Genomic DNA, 22,142 nt, shown 5'->3' with positions numbered 1-22,142 from the left:
TTTCCATAATGGCTGCACCATTTTTGCATCCCTACCAACAGTGTTTAAAGGTTCCAATTTCTCTCCATCCTGGGGACTTTGATACTGAGAACCTAACCTGTCTAGCCTCTTCTGCACTGGCCGCCTTTGCAAGAGCTGGTTGCCTCTCTGAAAACTCTCCTCCCAGGCCTCTTCCCTTCCCCTCACCCACATGGCAGGACAGTCCTACTTCCTTTTCCCTTAAGGGAAGATTCAAATGCTGCTTCTTTGGTGAAGTCTTCCCCAGGCCTCGTCCCTTTCTTTGCATTCCTGTAGCACAGAACCCCATCTGTGTCTTATAGGCACGTGTCTCTTCATCAGACTGTGAGCCCCTTGAGGCCGGTGGTGTGGCTTCATCTCGGCATCTCCCCTGGCATGGTGCTACCTCATCCTCCTTGCTGAATAAGTGAATGAAATGCATTCATTATACACAGCCGCCTTCTGTTTTCCATTATTTGTCATTATTCAGTGTGTTCTGTGAACCAGGAGCTGGGCATGGCTTGTTGAATAAGAACACAGTCCCTAAACTAAGGAGCTTTTAGGCTGGTAACCAAAAAGGGAAATTCTAAATTTTTTTATGATAAGCTTTTAGATATCTTTTTGATATTTAGAATGAAGTAAACACAGTAGATGTAGTCCAATTTTGGAAATCATTTAAGACCTGAGCCTAATTGAGCAGGTAGAAAGCCAGGAAGAACACACCTACTTTGTATTTGCAGTCCTTTCCTCATGCTAATTGATAAGGCGATTAATCCTTACACTATTGCTGAGCCACAACCCCATTTAAAAATAAAAATTAGGAAAGCTGTCTGGATAATTATTAGCAAAGACTTTACAGAGGCTGGGATAAGTCCTCCAGCTGGTTGTTTGCACTGGGAGTTTTACAGTGTACTTGACCTTTGCTTAAGGTAAGGGAGTTTGTTTGGCAAAAACAATGATACATATTTCCATGGCATTGGAATCCTGCTGGATTTCTGAGACTCTGGGAATGCAGATGTGGGCACTGGAGTAAATGTGAGCATTTCATTACAGTGCCTGCCTTGTTTTGGGTTTTTTTTTTTTTTTTTTTTTTTTTTTTGGCTCTGTTTTGGTTTTCTCTTCCAGGCTGTATTGCTAGGTTTACTGCTTTAAAATTGTCTTTATGGTCCAGGCTGCTGCAGCCTTTAGAACAAACCACGACAGTTGGGATCTAGAAGCCTGCGCCTCTCCTAGAGACACCACCTGCATCACAGTGTCGGTGACCTGACCTTTGAAGGGGCCATTTCCCATCTTGGAAATGGGGATACTACTTGATATTCTTATTTATAGGATTTGGTGAGGGCATATGAGGTAACACATCCACAGATGCTCTGAAGGGCTTGAGCGGGATCCTGCACCTTATTACAGGTGGTTGTTGGTATCTTGGGCAGGTTTCAAGACCTGGAGGTTCAAGCCAGCCCATCTCACTGCTGAGCCAATAAGGAGGAAGACAACAGGGTTACAACAAAGCTTCAGGCTTAGGAAGAAATGTTTCACGTGGATGGTGTCCTGGCCAGCGGGTTTGGTTCTAAAATAAACACTACTGTCTCTGGGGCTGAAGATTTGCCCAGGACAATGAAGCAGCCAGCGGGAGGGTAGTGCAGAGCCGGTAAGTTTAGGGTCAGCTTTATTTTCACAGGCAAATGAGGAAGTGAGAGGCTGCTAAAATCACTCCTCTGAGGCTTCCCCTGCCCCTTGGATGAGGTCGCTGCCATCTCTGAGATGGGGGTGTGGCCTGTTACCCTTGTAGGCACCGAGGGTGGATCTAAGACACTGTTTTACCATCCAATCCTGTCAGCGGTTCCATGGCCCACCGGTTTCCTTTTGAATGTTTCCAGGAGCCAGAAGTCCAGATCCCAAGGGCTGGCACGCAGAAGGAGGGCCCTCCCGAGAGAGCACGCGTGCTTCGATTTCTTTCGTGATTATGAGATGTTTCTGATGTCACGTGTATCTGCTACCCGGACTCGGAAACAAGCCTCATTAATAAGTCCCACCCTCCCGCCTCCACCCACCCCCGCCTCCTCCCGCCTCCTCCCCCTCCCGCGCCCCCCGCCTCCTCCCCCTCCCCTGTCCACAAGTCTCCCCACCCCGTTTGCTGTTTTTCATCCTCATGAGTTTCGTTAGGTTTTCCCACATCTAGAACACTGCGTTGTACAGTTTTGCCTTTAAAAAAAAACTTCCTACAAATGCTGTCGTACTGTGTTTGTTTTTCTGAACTTCCTTCTTTTTTTAATACCTCAGCGTTATATCCAGTGGCTCCTCCGTGTCGATGCGGAGACAGGGAATGAGTGAGAGCGACGCCGGCTTTGAGAGCTGGGGTTTGTGCAGGGCTGAGTGAGACCTTGGGCTCCCGTGGCCCAGAACTTAAGAAATAGCAAATGAGAATAGTAGATGAGCCAGAAATTGAGAGTAAATTTGGGAAGGCACAGAAAGGACTGACCAGGCATCAAGTGGCCTAGCTCTGGAGCCTGGGAGTGGGGCTGATACAGGGAGCGGGGCGGGAGGGCCCAGACCTAGCCCAGACTCATGAGAACGGTAACCTTGTTATGACCTTGGCCTTCACACAATAACTTCCCTCTGCCCAGCAACGTCCTGTTCTCTTATACACATGGTAAGAGGGAAAATATCTATCTATAAATACATTTATATTTCTAAGAGATCATCATGGAGATTTTTTTTCTCGACCCAGGGAGGGTTGCTTTGTTGCATAGAACAGGGTGTGACGAACCCACGAGCAGCATGCTTGTCTTCCTCCCGTCTTTTAAGTTCAAAGGCTTCTCACTGTACCTAATAAGTCGATGTCTTTACTGATATTATTTCTGATTTCCAGTTTGAAGATGAGAAAACTGGTGGTTATCAAGGCCTCTCTATTCATCCCATTTTATTTGAAGAGCTACTGGATAGTATTTGGAGGGAGACTTTTTTTTTTTTAGCTGGGGAGGGTGGCGGCCACAAAGACAGGGAGCTGTTTCCAAGCAGATAGAGGGTAGGAGCCCAAAGATAAGGATTTGAATACTGCCATGTGGAGAGGCGCTGGTTTTTTTTGTTTGTGTTTTTATAAACTCGGTAGTAGGAATATCTTTTATTGTTTTTCCTGTTGCCTGTTTAAAGGAAAGAGTGTAGCACAAATTGTCCAAATGCCTTGTGCTTTTAGGGGCAGAGTTAGATACTGTCACCCTCTGGCCCTCAGGTCCTGCTTTGTCTGTTCTGCGTGTTGTCTACCCATGAACTAATGAGGCTGCCTGCTTAATTGACCTGGAAAGACAAGTGTCAGTTGAAGAAGATGATGTTGAATTATGAGATTCAGAAACCCATTACATGGCTACTTGGCCCAGCATAGTACCTTCCCCATTTGTTAGACATTCACTATTTGATTAATTAGTAAGAAATTAGAGATGGTGTGGATCATTGAAATCTAGAGCAACCCCTCCAACACCTTGACTTCCCCCTAACACTCTTACTGGGACATCAACTAAAAACAGACTGTGTTTCAGTTCATCCATTGCTTTACCCACTAATAAATGGTTCACCCATCCTTTCTTGAGTGCCTGCTGGATGCTGGGTCTCTTGAGGATGGAAAGACATTGCCTTGCCTTTGAGGCACAGAGTCTCTGCTATATCGATGGATCTGACCACAGTACAGTGGTCACTACAATCGAGGAACTTATTAAATGCAGCAGGGACATGGAAAGAGAATCTGAATCTTCTTGAGATTTTCTTTTGTTTACCCAACCCACCTCATGTAAAGATGTAAAGGTACACAAGTCAAGAGAAGGAAAAGTCTGTGAGTGCCTTTAGTCACTTGCTCCTCCGTAAATGTGCACTTCCTGTTGAATTTACCTTTGAAGGGTCCTGAAAGGAGTGTCTTTGCCCATCCAATGCCCTGACTGCCTCTCCGTTGGGAGTGCACCATGCTATGTGTTTGTGTGAGCCTGTGTGTGTGTTTTGCTTAGAAGTTGCATGTGGCTCTTGTCTTGGCCATGCCAACTCTAAGGAGAAAACACATGTGATCACCATCGAAATTTCCACAATCCAATCAGGCCTGCCAAGGAGGTTTATGGGTCCAGATAAGTGGCTTAGCTACCTGTCACATCAAAGGATTCAGTCAACCGACCCAAGGACCAGCATTTTTCCTTGTGCCTTCTTAGAGAAAGTAAAGCAGCCCACGCATAGGAGACCTGGAAAAGTTGGTAGTCTGGGATCTGTAAGGAGCCTCTGCATGAGGCTTCCTCGATGCTGTCATGCTCTGGGCCAGAACTGGGGTCCTGGGAAACACTGGTGGTAGAAGGGAGAGTCTGCCTCTACTAAGAAGGTGGGGGAATGGTGTGGCTTCCTGAGGAGGGAGCTCTTGGGAACAGCAGCCCTGGAAGCCAGAAATCACGTGAGTACATTTGGGTGGCAGTGCACAGGGCAGAAGAGCCACATCACAGCTTCGGTAATGGGACGAGGCGAGCACAGCCCTTTACCTGGAAAGGCAGTGGTTGACTGATCTAGTGATTTGGGAGCAAAAATTCCAGTAGCCCTAGTCTTGTGATTTGCAGCTGAACTGTTTTCCTAATAGTCTTATACATGTGATTTTGTAAAGCATAATGAACACCTCAATCAAGCAGGTGACATCGTGAATCCCAGCATGAGGGTCACGGCATTTCCCATTGAGTGGGATTCAGGCCTGAAGCCAAACCGCTCAAGCCAGATGTTGAGACACAGGAAGTTATTTTAACTAAAATGCTGTAGAAGAGGGCAAGATTGGCAGCTGGGAGAATCAGGCAGCACCTCTTCATTGGGGAGCTGGCTGTGGTATAGGAAATCTAACACAGACGGAGTTTCCCTTTTTTTGTTCAAATGCTGGAAAACCAGGTTTTGGTTTAAGCAGCCAGGTAAAGGCCCACAGTTATGTGCCTTTTATGGCCCTTTGCCATCTTGCCTTCAAAATCTCCAAGAATAACAGATTATTCCTGTGAGCAGGGAAGTAATAATACTTACATGTAATTTTAGATTAGGCGGAGCACTCACAGGTGAGACTTTGCATCTCTTGACACGGTCTGGTCGTTGCTGAAGAACAGGGTAAAAAGTCTTACTTAAAATTTCAGGCAAAAAATGAATATAATCACTGTAGTATTTTCATACATATTTTGACCCTGTTCCTCAGCAACAAAGTCCTGTTGGGACAAGCTGACCACTGGGGGTTCTGGTAGCAAGGTGCAGGTCACGGGGGCGACTGATCTTCTCCCGGGTGTTTGCAGGGCACGCGGCTTGTCCATGCGTATCCAGGGAGCGTCTCTAAACTGCTGTTGGCTCTGGGTTTGCACTATGTGCTTTTCCTTCACTCAGATTAATTAAAGAATTGTCATTTCTCTGCTTTTTGAACACCTGTAAGCGACACCATTTATCCTCAGACCTCCAGGAAGCTTGGCAGTTTTCATATGCTGTGAGAGTATGATTTAAGGACTCAAGTGAGTCCATTTTCCATGATTCAGGTGAGTCCCAGTAGCAGGTTTCTCATTTTCAGATGGAAAAACAAGAATGGCAGAGATCAGAGCCTTTTCTCCCTTTTGTTATGGCCGGGGCTTGGTGTGTGCTCACCTGCTCTCTTTCTCTCTGTCTGTGTATTTGTGTGTCTGCAAGTATGCCTATGTGTGTATGTGGCCGTGTATGTGAATGGGTCAATATGTGTCTGTGTGTGTCTGTGCATGCATGCCGGTGAGCTTCTGTGGCTGTGTCTGTGTGTGAGTGTGTCTGTGCATGTCTGTATGTGCTTGTGTTTGTGGCTGTGTGTGTGTGTGTCTGTGCATGTCTGTGTGTGCATGCTTGTAAGTGTCTATGGCTGTGTGTGTGTGTGTGTGTGCATGTCTGTGTGTGTATGTTTGTGAGTGTCTGTGTGTCTGTACATGTCCGTGTACGTGGTTTTCACTGTCAGAGCAGCAGGACAAGAGGCACTCTCACATCTCCTTCCACAACCTGCCCTGTTCCTCCCTTCCTTATCTGTGGTCCTGGTGGGCCTGGTTTTGCCATGGCCTCTGCCACCTCTCAGCACTCCAGCAGCCCTGCCTGGGGAGGGGAGGCCATGGAGTGCTTTCGCCTTGACGCCCATTTCAGAAACGGAGCAGCCTTACCAGTCGGGTGGTGGACAGTCATCCACCCAGAGCATCCCTCCCTGCTCTCCTGTTTGGTGTGGCCTAGATGGGAACTCCATCTGCCTCGAGGTGGTCCCCATGACTGCAGCAGCTCAGGCCTTGGCCCTGCTGCCCATCCTCCTGCTCACCTGGGGGTCATGTACATTTGATGAGAATGCATTAGAAACCTGGGTTTCCTGGCTCAGTCCTGAATGAAGTAGCAAGTCTCCTCGGGGACAGTTTTGATACCAAATAGCAGAAATATGGCTCCATAGGGCCCACCCTGTGGTACAGTGTGGCTGGGGGAGGAGATGGGTTACAGAATCTTTGAAGTGGCCAGTGACGTGTTCTTAGGCGAAAGCCAGGAAAGGTCGAGGGGAGAGAGGTTTCCAGAGCAGTGGGAGGGGTGGGCGGGAAGCCACAGAGAGGGCTGTTGACTGAGCCTGGATGACTGCTCATTAGTCCTGACCGTCCAGTACTTGTGGGCTGAACGTTCCCCGCTGCCTGGCACGCTCAGGGCAACCCCCAGGATTTGTGTTCATTGCCCAGCTCAGCCACCCCCACCCCATAAAATCTCAAGACTTGTCTTTCTGCCAGCACTAGCTGATAACATCAGATTATTTTTCCCCAACCCTTTTCCTTCGCCCCTTCGTTTTCCACCCTAAGAGGCTAAATTGCCTGGCATTTTCCACCGCACTCCGATTACACTGGACAAAGGGCCATCCGGCTAGAATGCTAATAGGGAGATTTTTTTTCCATCCTGCCTGAGCCTCACAAAAGCTGGGGGCTTTAACTGCGAGGGCCTCTCTAGCTCTCACTTTCTTTCCTGTAATTCTATACAAACGGCATTAGCCTTTTATGAGGTCTTTGTTTGTGGCCATTCTGAGGGTACTTTTCATCTCACATGGGTTTCTTGAATTTTAAGTGGAATTTGTTCAAATCGGCCTGGCCTTGCTTCTCCTGGAGGAAATGCAGGCTCACCATTATAAGTTAGTAAATTCAAAAGGGATTTTTTTTTTTAAGAAAAAAATCTTTCTCTTTCACCACAAATTAAATGCGTCAATAAGAGAAGATGATTAAAAATTCAAGTGCCCTTTGAAGATACAAGATGATTGACCTCAGAATGGGAGTGAGAAGGGCAGTGAGACCAGCTCCCCATTACCACCAAGAAATTCCATTTGTTTTCTCTCTCTGATGTGAAAATAACTCCGTCTCCCTTGAGGAATCTGCTCTCATAATAAAAATCACCATTTGCATTTTTTAAGTAATAATGCTGATTTTTCTGTTAGAAACTGAAGGATAACTAAAACATGCTGGCTCTGACAACCAGTTTGACGAATGGATCAGTTAATCCAGCCTGCAGCTGTCAAAGCTTCAGAGCAGGCATGGGCCAAGTTTTCTGCAAAGGGCCAGAACATGAATATTCTGGGCTGTGCAGGCCATACGGTCTCTGCCCCACCTACTACTCCCTGCTACTGCAACAGCAGCCATGGACAATCTGGAGGTGAATGAGTGTGACCGCATTCCACAAAAGCCGCATTTGTCGACACTAAAATTTCAATTTCACATAAACTTCACACAAGAGATATTATTCATCTTTTGGTTGTCTTGAACCATTTAAAAATGTCCATTCTTAGGGACGAGCTGAATAAAATCAGGCAGTGCATTGTACAAAAACAGCAGCCTTCAGCAGGATTTGGCCCGAGGGTCATAGTTTTCCAACCCTACTTTAGAGCAGCTTTTAAAACTGTAGTTTATGACACATTAGGGCTTGGGTTAAGGGTTATAGAATCCATCGGGTGGGTCCTGCCCAGCATTTTTAAAGAAAAAAATAGAATTAAGTGCATCACACACAATAAGGGTTAAGTATCGTTTCATGAAAATTTGGGGTGTGTGTGTGCATGCATGCTGAGTCACTATGCTGTGCAGTACTGGGAAATAATTTTCTATCAACCATGGTCCTACTCATCCACCAGACTTTTATGTGCTTCAAAGGACACAAAGACCAAGAACCAAGGGACTGTGAATGTACTTAGCCCCCAAGAGGGGATGAAGGCGACCGTGATCATCTGCCTTCGTGTATCACAGGAATCAAGAGCCCTGGAAGAGGTGCTCTGTCCCAGGTCTGTGATCAGAGAGCGATGGGAGCAATAAGCCACCACCTTATCTTTCCTGAAGATATCAGGTTGCTTGAGGCACTGCCCACTTCATATGAATTTCCTGCTTTCATGTTAGGCTTATTTCTGAGTAGTTCAAATAATTCATCTTCTCCACTCTGCTCTTCCACCTCCTGAGATTCAGTGATATTTAAAGCACTTGGGTGGTTGAGTATTCAATATTCTTCACCAAACAGAAATACAATAGTGTGTGGGAAGAAGGGCCATGCATTTTAATCTGATGAAAACAGCTCATGCCAGCTGTGACGGTTAGCCTAACTGCAAACTAGGCTGTGAGGAGGTGGAGGAGGAAGGAAGGTATATTTTGGTACTATAATAATTCAGGGCCTGCAGGGGATGCCCTATGGTTGAACCACATTCTAGAGAGGGTTCCAGAAACTCCAGGGGCCACAGGGCTTGCCTCGGGGTTGGCATTGGGATTTGGTGGTAGGAGTCAATTTGGCCGAAGAGTCCTCGGGTAGGTGGGATAGGGAGAGAGAGGCTGCCTCTTAGGTCCCCAGGAAGTGGGGAGGAAGAAAGACAGGTAGGAGACAGAAAGGTGTTTGGGGCTCTGACTGCCCAGTCCGAAGCCCCAGCTCAGTGCTGAGCTGCTTGGTGGCTAGGGCAGGCTTCCTCGAGGGTTCTGCAGGCTTTGGCAGGGAGGAACGAAGAGCAGGGAGAAGTGCCCCGCGGCCAGTTGGCCCCAGTGGGAAGCACCCCATCACCCAGCTGTTTGCAGAAAAGGCAGCTGTCCTTGAGGGCAGAAGCAGAGGAGCATCCCCCTTCCTTGTCATCCTGCTCAGGGGAGGCTTTGTGGCTTTCTGGTTTACCCAGAGGGAGACACTGTTTACTCTTCTGAAGGGGTTATGAAAGATGACTATTTCCAGAGTGGTGATGAACGCTGGAGAGACAGTTGGAAGGGAAGACAGTACCAGTTGACTCTCCTCTGAGGCAAAGCCTCTAAATTCCTAAGCCCTCCCTGCCCTGGCTCTGGGTCATGGGGACCCGGTCCGTTGGCTGGGAAGGGTTTGTCTCCTTGTGACCCAGGATGCTTGCTGTAAGATTTGGTGACTTTCTGCAGCTGGAAGGTTTGAAGCTCTGTTTTCCTTGGACAGTTTGCTAGTTGGATCTTGGGTTGAATGAGCAGCCGCTAGGGGTGAAGTATCTGGCCTCAGGTGTTGGGTGGGTCAGGTCCTAGGAGTTGGGAAGGGCACCACACCCAGCTCCGTGCCGGGAATGTGGTGGATGCTCGTGTGATTGCCAGGCTAGTAAGTGCCGAATGGTGGGCTGCATTTTTCCATCAACAGGGCCGGATTCTATAGTGTGCACTCACTTAGGTGCAGATGGGACTCAGTAAGAAGACAGTGGCCTTGCTAAATAAAGAAACTGAGAGCAAGATAAACACAATGCAGACTGCTATTGTCACTCTGAGCAGATGGCCACAAGTCACCCAAAGCTCAGGTAAGAAGAGAAAACAGAAGCTTGTAGAAAAATACAGCTCCTGCTCCAGGAAAGATGGCGCCTAGGCTTTGGTTCAGAGGCCAGACCCCTCCGTTGTAGTAGCTGTTCCAGGCCATGGTCAGAAACCAATTCCCTTCCTCACTTCCCCACATCCCCACATCCTTCCGTCCCCAAGCATGGAATCGTGGAACGTGCAGGCACCAAGGATTAGAGGGTTGGGACTGAAGAAAACAAAAAGAATGTCTCTTTCCTCCTGGAGCCTTCCAGAGCAGGAGACACACAGCATGCAGGTAACTAGATAAGTGTGTCCCCCACAGCTGGGACAGGTGCCATGAAGGAGAAGCCTGCAGTGAGATAAGAGAGCCAGTGAGGCCTGAGTTAGATGAAGGAGTGGAGAGCAAAAGCCTCCATGATGACACATCACCACGCAGAGACAGGAGGGCGTCCAGGCTGGGGCAACAGCCGCACACCTCCCGATGCTGGGCAGAGCTTCATCTTTAGCAGTAGAAGGAAGGGCTCTTGGCCACAGCCTGAGGGCAGGGCAGACTGTGTAGGACCTCCTATGCCAAGCCAAAGACTCAGGAATCTTGTGCATAAAGTGAGTCTCCAGTGGAGATTAGAGGAATAATGAGAAAATATCAGACTTTTAAAAAATTCAATATGAAGTCATAAAAAAATCAGATTTTTATGCTAAAAAGTATAGATCAGAAAATGTAAAGTAGGAGGAGAAAGAGAAGACCATTGAGAAGAACCAGGAGGTAGCCAACACGAGCGATGAATGAGAGAGGGAGGCTGGGAGAGAAGCAGCTTAGGAGACCCAAGAGATCAAGCAGATACCTGAGGCATTTGGCAGTTCATTGCATGGCTGGGCCCTGCCTCCTGTTACCCAGGGGAAGGAATGACTAAGTGCTCCTGGTGTAGTTAAATTCTCCTGTGCAGTTCAGCTCTCAGAGGTCAGCCGTGATGATGCTCCAATGTTGGGGGTTGGTTGCTCAGGTCAGCCGCCAACACTCACCAGAGTCTTCTCTGTGTCAGCTCTTCACCATCCTGAGGGGTGCGAGGAAGTGTGAGAGAAGGACATGGCCCACAAGAACGCTAGGGTCCAGTTGGGGGGACAGATGCATGTGCGTGTAAGACAACGCAACCGTACAAAATAGGAAGCTGCTGAATGTCCCGCAGTGATGCGAGGGGTTAAGTCCATGAGTGGCGTGGCTGCACGGTCAAACTTCGGGCACTCACAGGACATCACAGCGTGGGGGTAGTTAATGACTTGGGGAAATGTGTGCAACATAATGTAAAATAACAAAAGCAAACTGATAACCATTTAAAAAAAAACGTTGTGAAAGATTGGGAGGAAATATACTAAAATATGAACACTGGGTGTTTGGGTTATTGGTGATTCCCTTAATACATATGTCTGTATTTTCAGGGAATTCCCATAGTATCTTTGTTTAATGTGAAAAGTTAAAATGTATGTATGTTGTCCTTTAGATGCTACTAGGGGGTATATGCTCTGTGTTATATGTGTGCCCTGACCCAAGACAGCTTTGCCAGGTCCTAGGTTAGAATTCATCCTGGGTGTCAGCAAGGGCAGACTATTTCTAGTAGGACTGAGCTGAGCAAAGGCATGACAGGGAACCAAGTGGAAGGTGGGTCTGAGGGATGGCCAGGGAATGGGCACAGCTCCCATGGACTCCCAAGAGGCTGTGGGATGGTGCAGCTGGGAGTAGCTGGAGGTGTTTCATGCCTGCCCAGGATCTGGATGTGATGACACAGGAATGCAATGCCAACACAAGGGTTTAAAGAGCCACTTGCCTGCTTGGGAATGCCCTTGTAAGCTGTGTGGCAGCAGATACGGAGGGGACCCTACCCAAGCTGGAACAGAGTAGCGGCAATGGGGTGCACAGTCACTAAGAGGATTTGCAGGGAGGAAGCTGGCTGGACTGGGACTTCATCCATGCAGGGGAGGAAGGGGTTGCTGCCCCCAGTTCTCATCCTGGGGTGACTGAGGGAATGCATGGGTCATTAACAGACATGAAGTGGATGGAAGGGCTGGCTTTTGTGCGGAGAGGGGCAGGGGTGATTGCAGCTTCAGACGTGCAATGCTGGGTTTTAGAGGTACATGAACGTGTGAGCAGGTCAGCAGAGACGTTGAGCTGGGACCCGAGCAGAGGTGGCGCTGGCCTGTCAGATTGGCATCGTGCACATTCAAAGAGAGTCTGTGCCCTTGAACGTCCAGGAGCCTGCTTGGGCTTTGAGCAGTTCAAGGCAGGAAAAGTTTCACTGGCACCAGGCTGAATCACTCATAGGCTGTAAGTGGAACATTTCAAATGCTGAAGTGGAAGCTGTTTAGTGGCAGTATGACAGCTGACAGCAAGCGTGTGTACCATGTTGCTCAGTGTATTCTGCAATATCAAGGAAGGCCACAGCAGCCAACACTCTCGGAGAACGGGAGACACCAAAATAAGAAACAAGCTCGGCTATATGTACAGCAGGTTATAAATAGAAAACTGAAACAAAAACAAAATCTGCTTAGCAGCAGGTAGGCCAGTTCTACTTCATGATTATTTGGAGGCAGACTTGGTTTTACATAATGATAGAAATGTATTACTGAGTCAACAAGCATTTGACCATCTCAATTCCATATAAATACAAGTCCCACGTTTCTCTTATCCTCTTGTCCTGGGAAGGGCACCATATTTTTAGAAATATAAACTACTAGGGTGGGGTGTGGTGGCTCACACCTGTAATCCCAGCACTTTGGCAGGCTGAGGCGGGAGGATCACCTGAGGTCAGGAGTTTGAGACCAGCCTGGCCAACATGGTGAAACCTTGTCTCTACTAAAAATAAAAAATTAGCCAGGTGTGTTGGTGCATACCTGTAATCCCAGCTACTCAGGAGGCTGAGGCAGGAGAATCACTTGAACCCAGGAGGCGGAGGCTGCAGTGAGCCACAGTTCGTACCACTGCACTCCAGCCTGGGTGACAGAGCAAGACTCTGTCTCAAAAAAAAAAAAAAAAAAAGAAAAGAGATATAAACTACTGGTACTTTCCTTGTAACTTAAAAGTGAGTGCTTTCCCTCTAAGAAGTTGTTTTCTTAAGTTGACTGGAGATGGACTATATAAAACTCAACATGTATCTTTCGTTTCTCAGTCATTTGAATGAACCTCGGTACCTATTCAGACACCTCTGTGTGCTAATTCCCTAGATGCTGATGCTAGGAGTCTACTGAATTTGGGAATGTAGTAGAAGTAACACTAAGATAAAAGAAAGTTAAGAATTCTGACAAAGCCAATTGTTCTTTGCATTCAGACATAGGGACATATTTATTACAGTCTTAGCCGTGGGTCTTTTGTCTAGTCAAGTACTGGACAACAAATGGCCACTTTCTTTGTATAAAGGAAGTTTGCTCAGTGAGGAGTCCACTTGTTTCCTGATACTTAAAATTTCTTGAACATCAAGACTAGGAAGATGGTTTCCTCAGCCCAGGCTGCCAGTGCTGCCAAGAAATGAGTTTTCTCCTGTGTTTGCTTCTAGCTCCAGAAGCACCTTTACCCCATTTTAAGGAGGCAGCAGGTGGATAGTTTGCAAGAAGCTTGCTTCTGAAATTATAAGGACCAAAATGTGATACTGAAGGAGTTCGTGATTGCCTAACGCTTACTTATTTCAATATGCTTAAAGTTTGGAATTGGTTCTTTCAAGACACGCTGTTCACTTCTACCTCCAGAAAAAGGATCTTTATACATCACTCTATGTGTACAAATTAGTTTCATTTTAACCTTCAATGAAATCCCAAACATTATAGAATGGCTTTTAGTTTCCCAGAAAATTTAGAACCCAGGCTGTTTGGCCCCAGAGCCCAGGTTCTTAACCACATGGTCGTGTCAGACACTACCGCTTGTGTCCTTTGAACTTTTCAATACAGCCCTTTAGACTCATCAAAGGGATCCAGTAGAGCTTCTGCTAGAAAAGGGGAAGGAAAGAGGGGAGGAGAATATGGCACATGTAGAGATTTGGCCAAGCTGTTTTGGGTATTCTCTATTATTTCTTATGCTTTTTCCATATATGTGAAATACTACTTTTTTAAAAAATTTGTTTGGTTTTCCCCTCCTTCTTACTTACATGTCATTGAGAATGCTAGGAAGGTGTTTTCATTTTGACATGTTAACATCAGATTCTAGATCAGTGCTGTCCAATAGAACACTTGAAGTGTGGCCAGTGCAACTGAAGAACTGAAGGTTTACTTGTACCTAATTTTAATTAATTTAAGTTTAAATAGCCATATGTGACCACTGTATTGGACAATGCAGTTCTGGAAGAAAAAGCCACAGAAACCAAGGCATTCCCCAGTGCTGTCAGAGACTGGACAGTAGATTCTAATTCGTGTACCATTCCCCTTAGCAAAAATCCTCTTAAAATATTTTCTAACTTAGGAATAAGCGAATCGAATCTAAAATTTACTTGAGAAAATATTCTCAATATTTATAGAATGTAAGTTCCTTCTTCTGCCATCCTGTGCCTTCTGTCTTCTTTCCCAAATGAAACATTTTTTCATTGCTTCTTGTGTGTATGTATTTAAGGGCTGCTCTCTGTTCGGCACCAATGTTTGACAGTGATTGGCTCTTCTCTTAAATACAGCCAGCTCCCCAAGGTCATCAGTCAACGTCATTATGTTCAGAAGCAGATAGATGGGCAATTCAAGAGCGACCTAGGGTCTTTCGACATTTGGCCGGCTGCTGAGTATTTAATTACGTCTCGACAAACATGGGAGAGAGCCCTCATTGATAAGCTTAGCTTGTTAAGAGCTGGTCTCATTAATGGTCATGGTGATAAATTGTGCTAGTCTTATTGAAAAAAAGATGTCTAAAACGAGGACATTATGTCTAAATGATGAGGATGTGTGTGTGTGTGTGCGTGTGTGTGTGTATTTGCAGGGGCTGGAGATGTTTCCTTCGTTCTTAAAGGATAAATCTGGTGTTTAAAATCCAAAGATCTGAATTCAAGTCCTAGATACTATAAACCATATGACCTAAGGCCTATTTGGTAACTAACCTCTTGGGGCCTCCCTGTTAAATGGGATTAGCACTTGTTTACGAGGCAAGAGTGTGGTTGGGAATAGATGTGGAAATGCAGTGTCTCTGTTTGCTGCTGAAGTGGTCCAGAATATGCCACTGGCCATAAGGACTGTTGTGAGCTGACAGCATTTGAGAACCAGCAGATGCAGGACGCAGCTTTGTCGGAACTCCCCCATCTACCTAGAAACAGAGCTTTCCCGAAGAATTCAACTGTCATAAATCCCCCTTTAAGGGAGATTTCTCCCAGCAGAGGTGAAGATGAGAAGTTGATGCAGGATGAGAAATTGCATAAACACACCTTACTAAAACAAACCTTCTCTTATATTATTTCCCCCGTGTATTTCTCTGTCATTTCCCACTATTTCTTGTCTCTTGAAATCCTAACCCCTTCCCTGCATTAGGATGGTATATAAAGCCCCAAATTCCAACCTCTTCTCTGAGCCATTTTTTGCACTCTCCTGCCGGTATACATATGTGATTAAACTTTGTCTTTCCTCTTGCCAGCCTGTCTTTTGTCAGTTTAATTCACAGGCCCCAAGCACTGACCCTAGGAGGGTGGAGGAAAAGGTTTTCATCCCCAGCACTAATGTGAAGGTGTTATTTGTACGATGGCAGTTTCAGGCAGATGAGAAATCCCAGCAATTTTGCTGACATTTGACGGCAAAAGCTCCTCAAGGTTTGAATCTCCTGGACCCCCCATCTACTGGCTTCCTGGGCTCCATCTGGAAAGCATCTGTTTCTGGGAATCTGGGCTCAGGGCCCCGGGGGACTCTGATGCTGTGGGTCAAGGAGGCCCCACCTTTGAGAAGCACTGTTTTCAGGGACCTCTGCAGACTGGGAGAGAGAAAGAGGTGTGTGTGTTTCAAAGGAGGTGAGCCGTGAACCCTAGTGGCCTCACTTCCATAGTTTCTGGGGCTGTACTTCATTCTGAATTTCAAATTTTAGTATTCGGTTGCCTAAATGAAGTAAGGTATTCCTTTAAATTTTGTTTTATCTCAATTTGTTGGCCACCCAATGACTTTTTGAAAAAGAGTTATGTTAAGGAGACACATGGCCTTAAAACAGCAAACCACATTGGGCTGGATTTCAAATTGAGGCTTCCATCTTGAAACAAAACGGTAACTGAGAATAAGTTTTCATTTTCACGCAGACACACCTAAAATTTAAACCCATAGTATGTACCTAGAGGAACAAAATGCTAGTTTAGGAGCTGCTGAACCTAAACTAGCAGCTTTCATTAAGAAGAAATCTTAATTAAAGCTTCATTAATCTTTCATTAAGAAGAAAGATTTTCTTCTTAATGCTACTGAACAGATGTCTTCCTCTATCCATGAATCGAAATATAGATAATCACTTGGGCCCTAGGATTTGTTTAGGAAATGAAAGAAGTACAAGAAGACTTAAGTTGTATGATTTTTTTTAAAATCCATTAACTTTTCTTTTAAAGGATTTACAGGTGTGGAAAGGATGGCCCCAGTCTGAAATTTTATTCCCAGCTTGTGTTCAGTTTCCTGCGCTCCCCCGCCCCCACCCCCCTCGCTTGACAGGGAAGCTTCGGTCACAACAGATGACCAATGAATTGTGCGTGTGGTTTCTTCTCTTTTGCTTCTTTTCTTTTCTGCCAACTCTGTCAAAGGCAGCCCAGCGTGAATCAGAAGTGCTGGCTGAACACTTACCCCAGAAGTCTGAGATGGTTTGGTAATCACAGCATTTACATTTGAATGTCATCTAACACCAGAGCAGTGATTAACCAGTGACTACAGAGTCACATCCTAAGTAGAGTAATACTGTGATTTTTTTCTGGGTTTTCATGTTCTGGACCCAAGGAGTTGGAAGAAGAGAGAGAGAGAGAACAAAACCCATCCACCTCAGAGTTTTCTAGTGAGGTCTGACATCTGCCATTCTAAAAAGTTTCAGGTGTGTCCTCTAAACCTCACCTTGAAACAGCCTCTTGCACTGTATAAAAGTTAGGCTTTTGGAACAAAATCTTTTGAAACAACTACAACAAAAAGTATGCTTCAATGGCATAACTTTTTTTTAGCATTTCAATCCTTCATATTTAACATTTTTCCTCTCAGCTTGATCGGAGGGAGGGCTTTCTGAGAAACCCTCTTTCCAATGAATCTCAAAACAGCTTCTGAGGTCATCTGTGACTCGGGCCAGCCTCTCAGCAACCTCTGTGTGAGGATTGTTTCTCTATATTAAATGCTGTATGTTCCGAATGTGTGTCCTTCAGAGCCAGGAGCTCACAGGAGCCATGTGACCCCTGACTTCACAGCAGGCCACCTTCAACCCTGTGAAGGGAGGGGAAGGTGCCATAGCAGGCATTGGTGATGGGAATGCCAAAGGTTATGTGTAACATGAGAGACCGGCCCCTCCTCATTCAACCTGATCCTGAAAGAAGGAGCATAAGCTTGAAGACATGAGTCCTTTAAATATCATTCCTGTAAACTCATATTGCCCTGGTTTCTGTTTTCCCAAATGGTAAATGTATCCTTTCCAGACAGATCCCATCAAAACCCACAAGTACCTAAGGACAGTCTCTCGGTTCTCATGTCTCTAGCACGTCATGCGGCTGCCCTTTTCCCAGTAGCCCCATCTGTTTTCCATAAGGGCCGCACTCTGTCACTTTATAAATTTGCTACGGCAATTGTCTCCTGCTTTTTCACATGGGACCTTGAAAATCGTTTTTGGCCTTTACACAAAGGATCGGTTACAAAGCTCCTCATACTGTGGTTAGAAATCGAGTCACTTTCCAAGTTGCCGTTCTTATGCAAGATGTTCCCAACTTTTGCAAGAATTATCAACTTTTACAAAAGTTCATTTATCTCATGGTTACCTGGAACTAAAGGGGCAATTTGTCATAGACTCTGCTGCGGTTACGTATGGGTCCCCAGGCCAGCCCACAGGGCTGTTTAAATGTGTCCCTGAATTATTATACTAACGTGCTGTTTGAAGGCCCTAGAGAGAATGTGACCGGCGGGCGTTTTACCTTATATCATCACTTTCTTTGACTCTGACAAACATTTCTTCCAGATAGTACCTCTTGCCATTCATAAGAGAGTCATAAGCATGTTAAGCCTCTTGCTCAATGTCATTCGTATAGCTGGTACTTGGAAAATGGAAATGCCAACCAATTTCAAAGCCCCTGCCCTTACCATTCCCTTCTCCAGGCCATCCCTCCTGGATAATACCGCTTTTGTGGGAGCGCTCTCTGGGCTAGGAAGCACCTCCCCTGTGGGGAGAGGAGAGGAGGGAAGCTGTATTCTCATGGACACATTTTTAATTTCATATGTTTACATAAGGAGGCTCAGATGTTCCTCAGCCATTATTGTTACAGGAAAGGGGCCCTGATCCAGACCCCAAGAGAGGATTCCTGGATCTCACCCAAGAAAGAGTTCGGGGCCAGTCCGCAGTGCAAAGTAAAAGCAAATTTATTAAGAAAGTAAAGGAATAAAAGAATGGCTACTCCATAGACAGAGCAGCCGCAAAAGCTGCTGGTTGCCCTTTTTTATGGTTATTTTTTGATGATATGCTAAACAAGGGGTGGATTATTCATGCCTCCCCTTTATAGACCACATAGGGTAACTTCCTGACGTTGCCATGGCATCTGTAAACCGTCATGGCGCTGCTGGGAGTGTAGCAGTGAGGACGACCAGAGGTCACTCTTGTGGCCATCTTGGGTTAGGTGTGTTTTGGCCGGCTCCTTTACTGCAACCTGTTTTATCAGTAAGGTCTTTATGACCTGCCTTTTGTGCCGACCTCCTGTCTCATCCTGTGACTTAGAATGCCTTAACCATCTGGGAATGCAGCCCAGTAGGTTTCAGCCTCATTTTACCCAGCTCCTGTTTAAGATGGAGTTGTTCTGGCTCACATGCCTCTGACATTATGAATTGGAAAGTGGAGGCTGTCACCCCAGGAGGGACAGGACCAGGGCTTGGGAACTCAGCTGCACCTGGGGAATGAACAGAAAACAAAAAGCTTTGTAACAAAGCTTGACAAAGTCTTTGAAGACAGATCACCATCTGTCTTCATCTAAGGCCTGTGTGCCTGGTGGTGGATTATCAGATTGGGGGTGGGGGAAAGCACACTGTTTTAATTTTTATTAAAGTTGGAAGAGGAGTTTTAAAGGATACGAAATCCTGATTGGTAGGAGGCTGACATGGATTTCAGCTGCAATGGCAATAATAGCCACAGAGCTATTGCATCACTTAAGAAATGACTGGCTCCTCCCTCCCCTCGACCCTGCTCTTCCCTCTGCAGCTCTGTGCTCTCCACACACACATCCTCTCTTCATCTGGCACCTCCACCAAATTGCTCAGGCTTCAGTCTTGGGGTTACTTTCTCCGTTGGGGCTTCCTGGGTACCTCCTTTGGACCTCTCTTGCTCCATGTTCCCCATCTGGTCAGTGTTGATGGAATAGTGGTTCTAGACTAGAAGGAGCTAATGTTCTCAGACAAGAGCAAGAAACCCCAAAGGTGACATCATCTTACATAATTAAACTCAGTGCTGCCACGTTTAATTCTGTATAGGCTTTTAAATCTCTAATAGCATTGTTCTCTTTATTACAAACATTATCACATAATTATGAAGTGGTAAAACTTTAAGGATGCAACTAAAAGGGAAGAAAAAATGTTTTCCTCTACCCTTTTAGGTTTAGAACCTGGGACCCTGCCAATAAAACTGACTAAAGACAGATTAAGGCCAGGCACAGTGGCTCACGCCTGTAATCCCAGCACTTTGGGAGGCCAAGGCGGGCAGGAGTTCAAGACCAGCCCGGCCAACATGGTGAAACCCTGTCTCCTAAAAACACAAAAATTAGCTGGGCATGGCGGCATGCGCCTGTAGTCCCAGCTAAGGAGGATGAGGCAGGAGAATCACTTGAACCCGGGAGGCGGAGGTTGCAGTGAGCGAAGATCATACCACTGCACTCCAGCCTGGGCAACAGAGTGAGACTCCGTCTCAAAAAATAAGAAATAAAGGCAGATTAACAGGAGAAAAGGCCATACTTGCACTTGATGTCAATATTTTAATTTTTACATGTACAGGGGAATCTCACAGAAGAAATGAAAGCCCAAGGAAATGGTTAAGCCTAAGAGCTTCTATACCATTTTAACAGAAAGCAATACATGATTTGAGAAATGACAAGACAAAGGAAAAGGCTTCGGGCTTCTAGGAGCAGTAAATTGTGGGACGGTAAATATATGGGGGAAACTGATGGAAGACGGGGCTATTTCGTGAGGTTTGTTTATGCAGATTCAAGTCGGTAGTGTCCCCAGTGGTGAGTCATCTCACTTCCTCTTGCTCCTGTGGGAGAAGGGAGGGAGTCTGGGGGTGACAACTTCACAAAGGGAAATTTGTGCCCTGCCTCTAAGCAGAAAGGTGGGTAGAGAGCTTTTCCTGCATCTGCTCTTTCTCCAATTGCCTTCAACTCAAAATAATCCTTATGCGAAAGTAGCATATTTGCATATTTCAAGATGACATACTCTGAGCCCCTTCACAACTTCCTGATCTTGTTCCACATTCCTTTCACGAATTGGAAAACCCAGGATCTGAGGGAGTCCTCGTGGATCACCAAGGCCGAGCCCAGCCTGTGGCCTCTGCGAGCCTGTCGCCACACCAGGCTGTCCTTGCCCTCGGTGGGGCCCGAGCACATGGTACACAGGAAAGACTTGCCCGGGTCCTTGCCCTGTTGCCTCTTGTTACCTTCCCACCAGGGCTCTGCAGGAGCCTGGGCTTGAAATCTAGCTCTTCCTTTTGCTAACTGCGTTTATGGGAGTCAATGAATTAGTTTTTCCCAAGCTTCAAATAAGAATGTTAACACTGGGGGCAGGACAAGGCAGGATTTAAAAAAAAAAAAAAAAAGGGAATTGTAACACTTAACACAGAGCTTGTTGTGCAGATGATAAAAGGCACTGTGCCCAGTACCTGGCACCTACAAGGCCTCCCTGAATACTCACCACTCTCCCCAGCAGCACCACTGGCAGCTCTGTAAATGGCACCTCCGCCTTAGGCACACATAGTCACTGAGTGCAACTGTGTGGGGTGGGCTGGCGATTTGCTCCAACAAACAGGCCTCCTGGCTCTCCTGTGGTTGAAGCAGCCCTGAGGAACTCTGCATTTGTGTTTAGCGCAGAGCCCTCAGAGGCTACATTCATGACGGATGCTCATGCCCTTGTGTAAATATGCTTAATAAAGCTAGTCTGCCAGGAGTGGTGGCTCACACCTGTAATTCCAGCACTTTGGGAGGCTGAGGTAGGAAGATTGTTTGAGCTCAGGAGTTCAAGACCAGCCTGGGCAATGTAGCAAGACCTTGTCTACTATAAATTTTAAAAATCAGCCAGGCATGGTGGCATGTGCCTGTAGTCTCAGCTATAGGGACGCTGAAGTGGGAGGCTGAAGTGGGAGGACCACTGGAGCCCAGGAGGTCAAGGCTGCAGTGAACTGTGATCACACCAGTGCACTCCAGCCTAGGTAAAAGAGGGAGACCTTGTCAAAAAAAAAAAAAAAAAGCCTACTACAGTTATTTCTTAATTTACTCAATTTCTTAGCTGAACACATTGGGTAATAAATTTCCACATGGAAGTTGTGCCTGATTTCTGTGGTCTGATTTCTGTGGTCTGATTCAGGGCGTGTTGAGCCTCTGGTAAGTGCTGAATACAATGCTAGACGTTAGGAAGGACACAGGTGACAGAGTGGTTTTCCTTTTCAAGGAGCTCGCTGCTGTGGCAGTGTAGGGCTTGCAGCCACCTGGCTTGCCAGGAACATTGAGTTATGTGAGAAGAGCAGCCTGTGAGAAGGGGAATAGGCCTGGGACGAAATCATGGAGGACCATGGTTGGTGGGCTCAGAATTTGGACTGACGTAGCATTTTTAGCAGTATTGAAATAGAACAGAGCTGGGCTTTAGGGGCAGTAACCTGCCAGCAGGATGTCAGATGGATTAAAGGGAAGAACTCTTTGGTAGCAAAAGCCCTGGTCACAGGCGACTATGGCAGTCCAGGTGAGAACAATGTGGGCGTGGCATGGAGGTGCTGTCTCCTCCTTCCCGCCACCCAAGTGGATGATCACACACACATTCTGACTCGCAGCCTCCCACCTTCTTGGGAAACATTTGCTTAACTGCTGAGTTAGGTGAGGTGCAAATCTGTGTGTGTGCATTTTCTACAACTTCCAGCAGGCACTCCTAGGAGAAGAGTCCAGATTTCTCTCTTTTTTTTTTTTTGAGATGGAGTCTCGCTCTTTCGCCCAGGCCGGAGAGCAGTGGCGCCATCTCGGCTCACTGCAAGCTCCACCTCCTGGG

At 46.4% G+C, this 22,142-nt stretch overlaps 1 protein-coding gene across 19 annotated transcripts in view, besides 3 other annotated features; it reads left to right on the top strand.

The window, feature by feature from the left end:
• The window catches only part of SLC22A23 (solute carrier family 22 member 23), a 188,078-nt gene that overhangs the window by 98,898 nt on the left and 67,038 nt on the right, over positions 1-22,142 (top strand). Inside the window, exons 5-6 of one of the 19 annotated variants that reach the window (XR_001743575.2) lie at positions 1,428-1,645; positions 1,875-1,961. The exons of 15 other annotated variants lie outside the window; for them this stretch is intronic. Coding sequence is in view for 2 of the 4 variants with exons in the window: in XM_017011183.2 (XP_016866672.1) it covers positions 1,428-1,573 (146 nt within the window). In the remaining 2 variants the exon portion in view is untranslated. 3 more of the 19 variants (XR_007059328.1, XM_017011185.3, XM_017011183.2) reach the window with 3 other exon arrangements.
• Positions 1,120-2,010: an enhancer, noted in NCBI's record as "H3K27ac hESC enhancer chr6:3356377-3357267 (GRCh37/hg19 assembly coordinates)". NCBI's record gives its function as "activates a minimal SCP1, AML or CMV promoter by ChIP-STARR-seq in primed H9 embryonic stem cells {active_cell/tissue: H9 hESC(primed)}" and the evidence as "EXISTENCE:reporter gene assay evidence [ECO:0000049][PMID:30033119]".
• Positions 6,130-8,990: an enhancer, noted in NCBI's record as "VISTA enhancer hs1391". NCBI's record gives its function as "enhancer in: midbrain (mesencephalon)[7/9] | forebrain[7/9]" and the evidence as "EXISTENCE:transgenic organism evidence [ECO:0001131][PMID:17130149]".
• Positions 16,242-16,965: an enhancer, noted in NCBI's record as "OCT4-NANOG-H3K27ac hESC enhancer chr6:3341422-3342145 (GRCh37/hg19 assembly coordinates)". NCBI's record gives its function as "activates a minimal SCP1, AML or CMV promoter by ChIP-STARR-seq in naive H9 embryonic stem cells {active_cell/tissue: H9 hESC(naive)}" and the evidence as "EXISTENCE:reporter gene assay evidence [ECO:0000049][PMID:30033119]".

The sequence above is a fragment of the Homo sapiens genome, chromosome 6 (assembly GCF_000001405.40).
Source record: "Homo sapiens chromosome 6, GRCh38.p14 Primary Assembly".
Lineage (NCBI taxonomy): Eukaryota > Metazoa > Chordata > Mammalia > Primates > Hominidae > Homo > Homo sapiens.
Note: the sequence above shows the minus strand (reverse complement) of the source record. Positions and strands in the feature narration are given on the sequence as shown.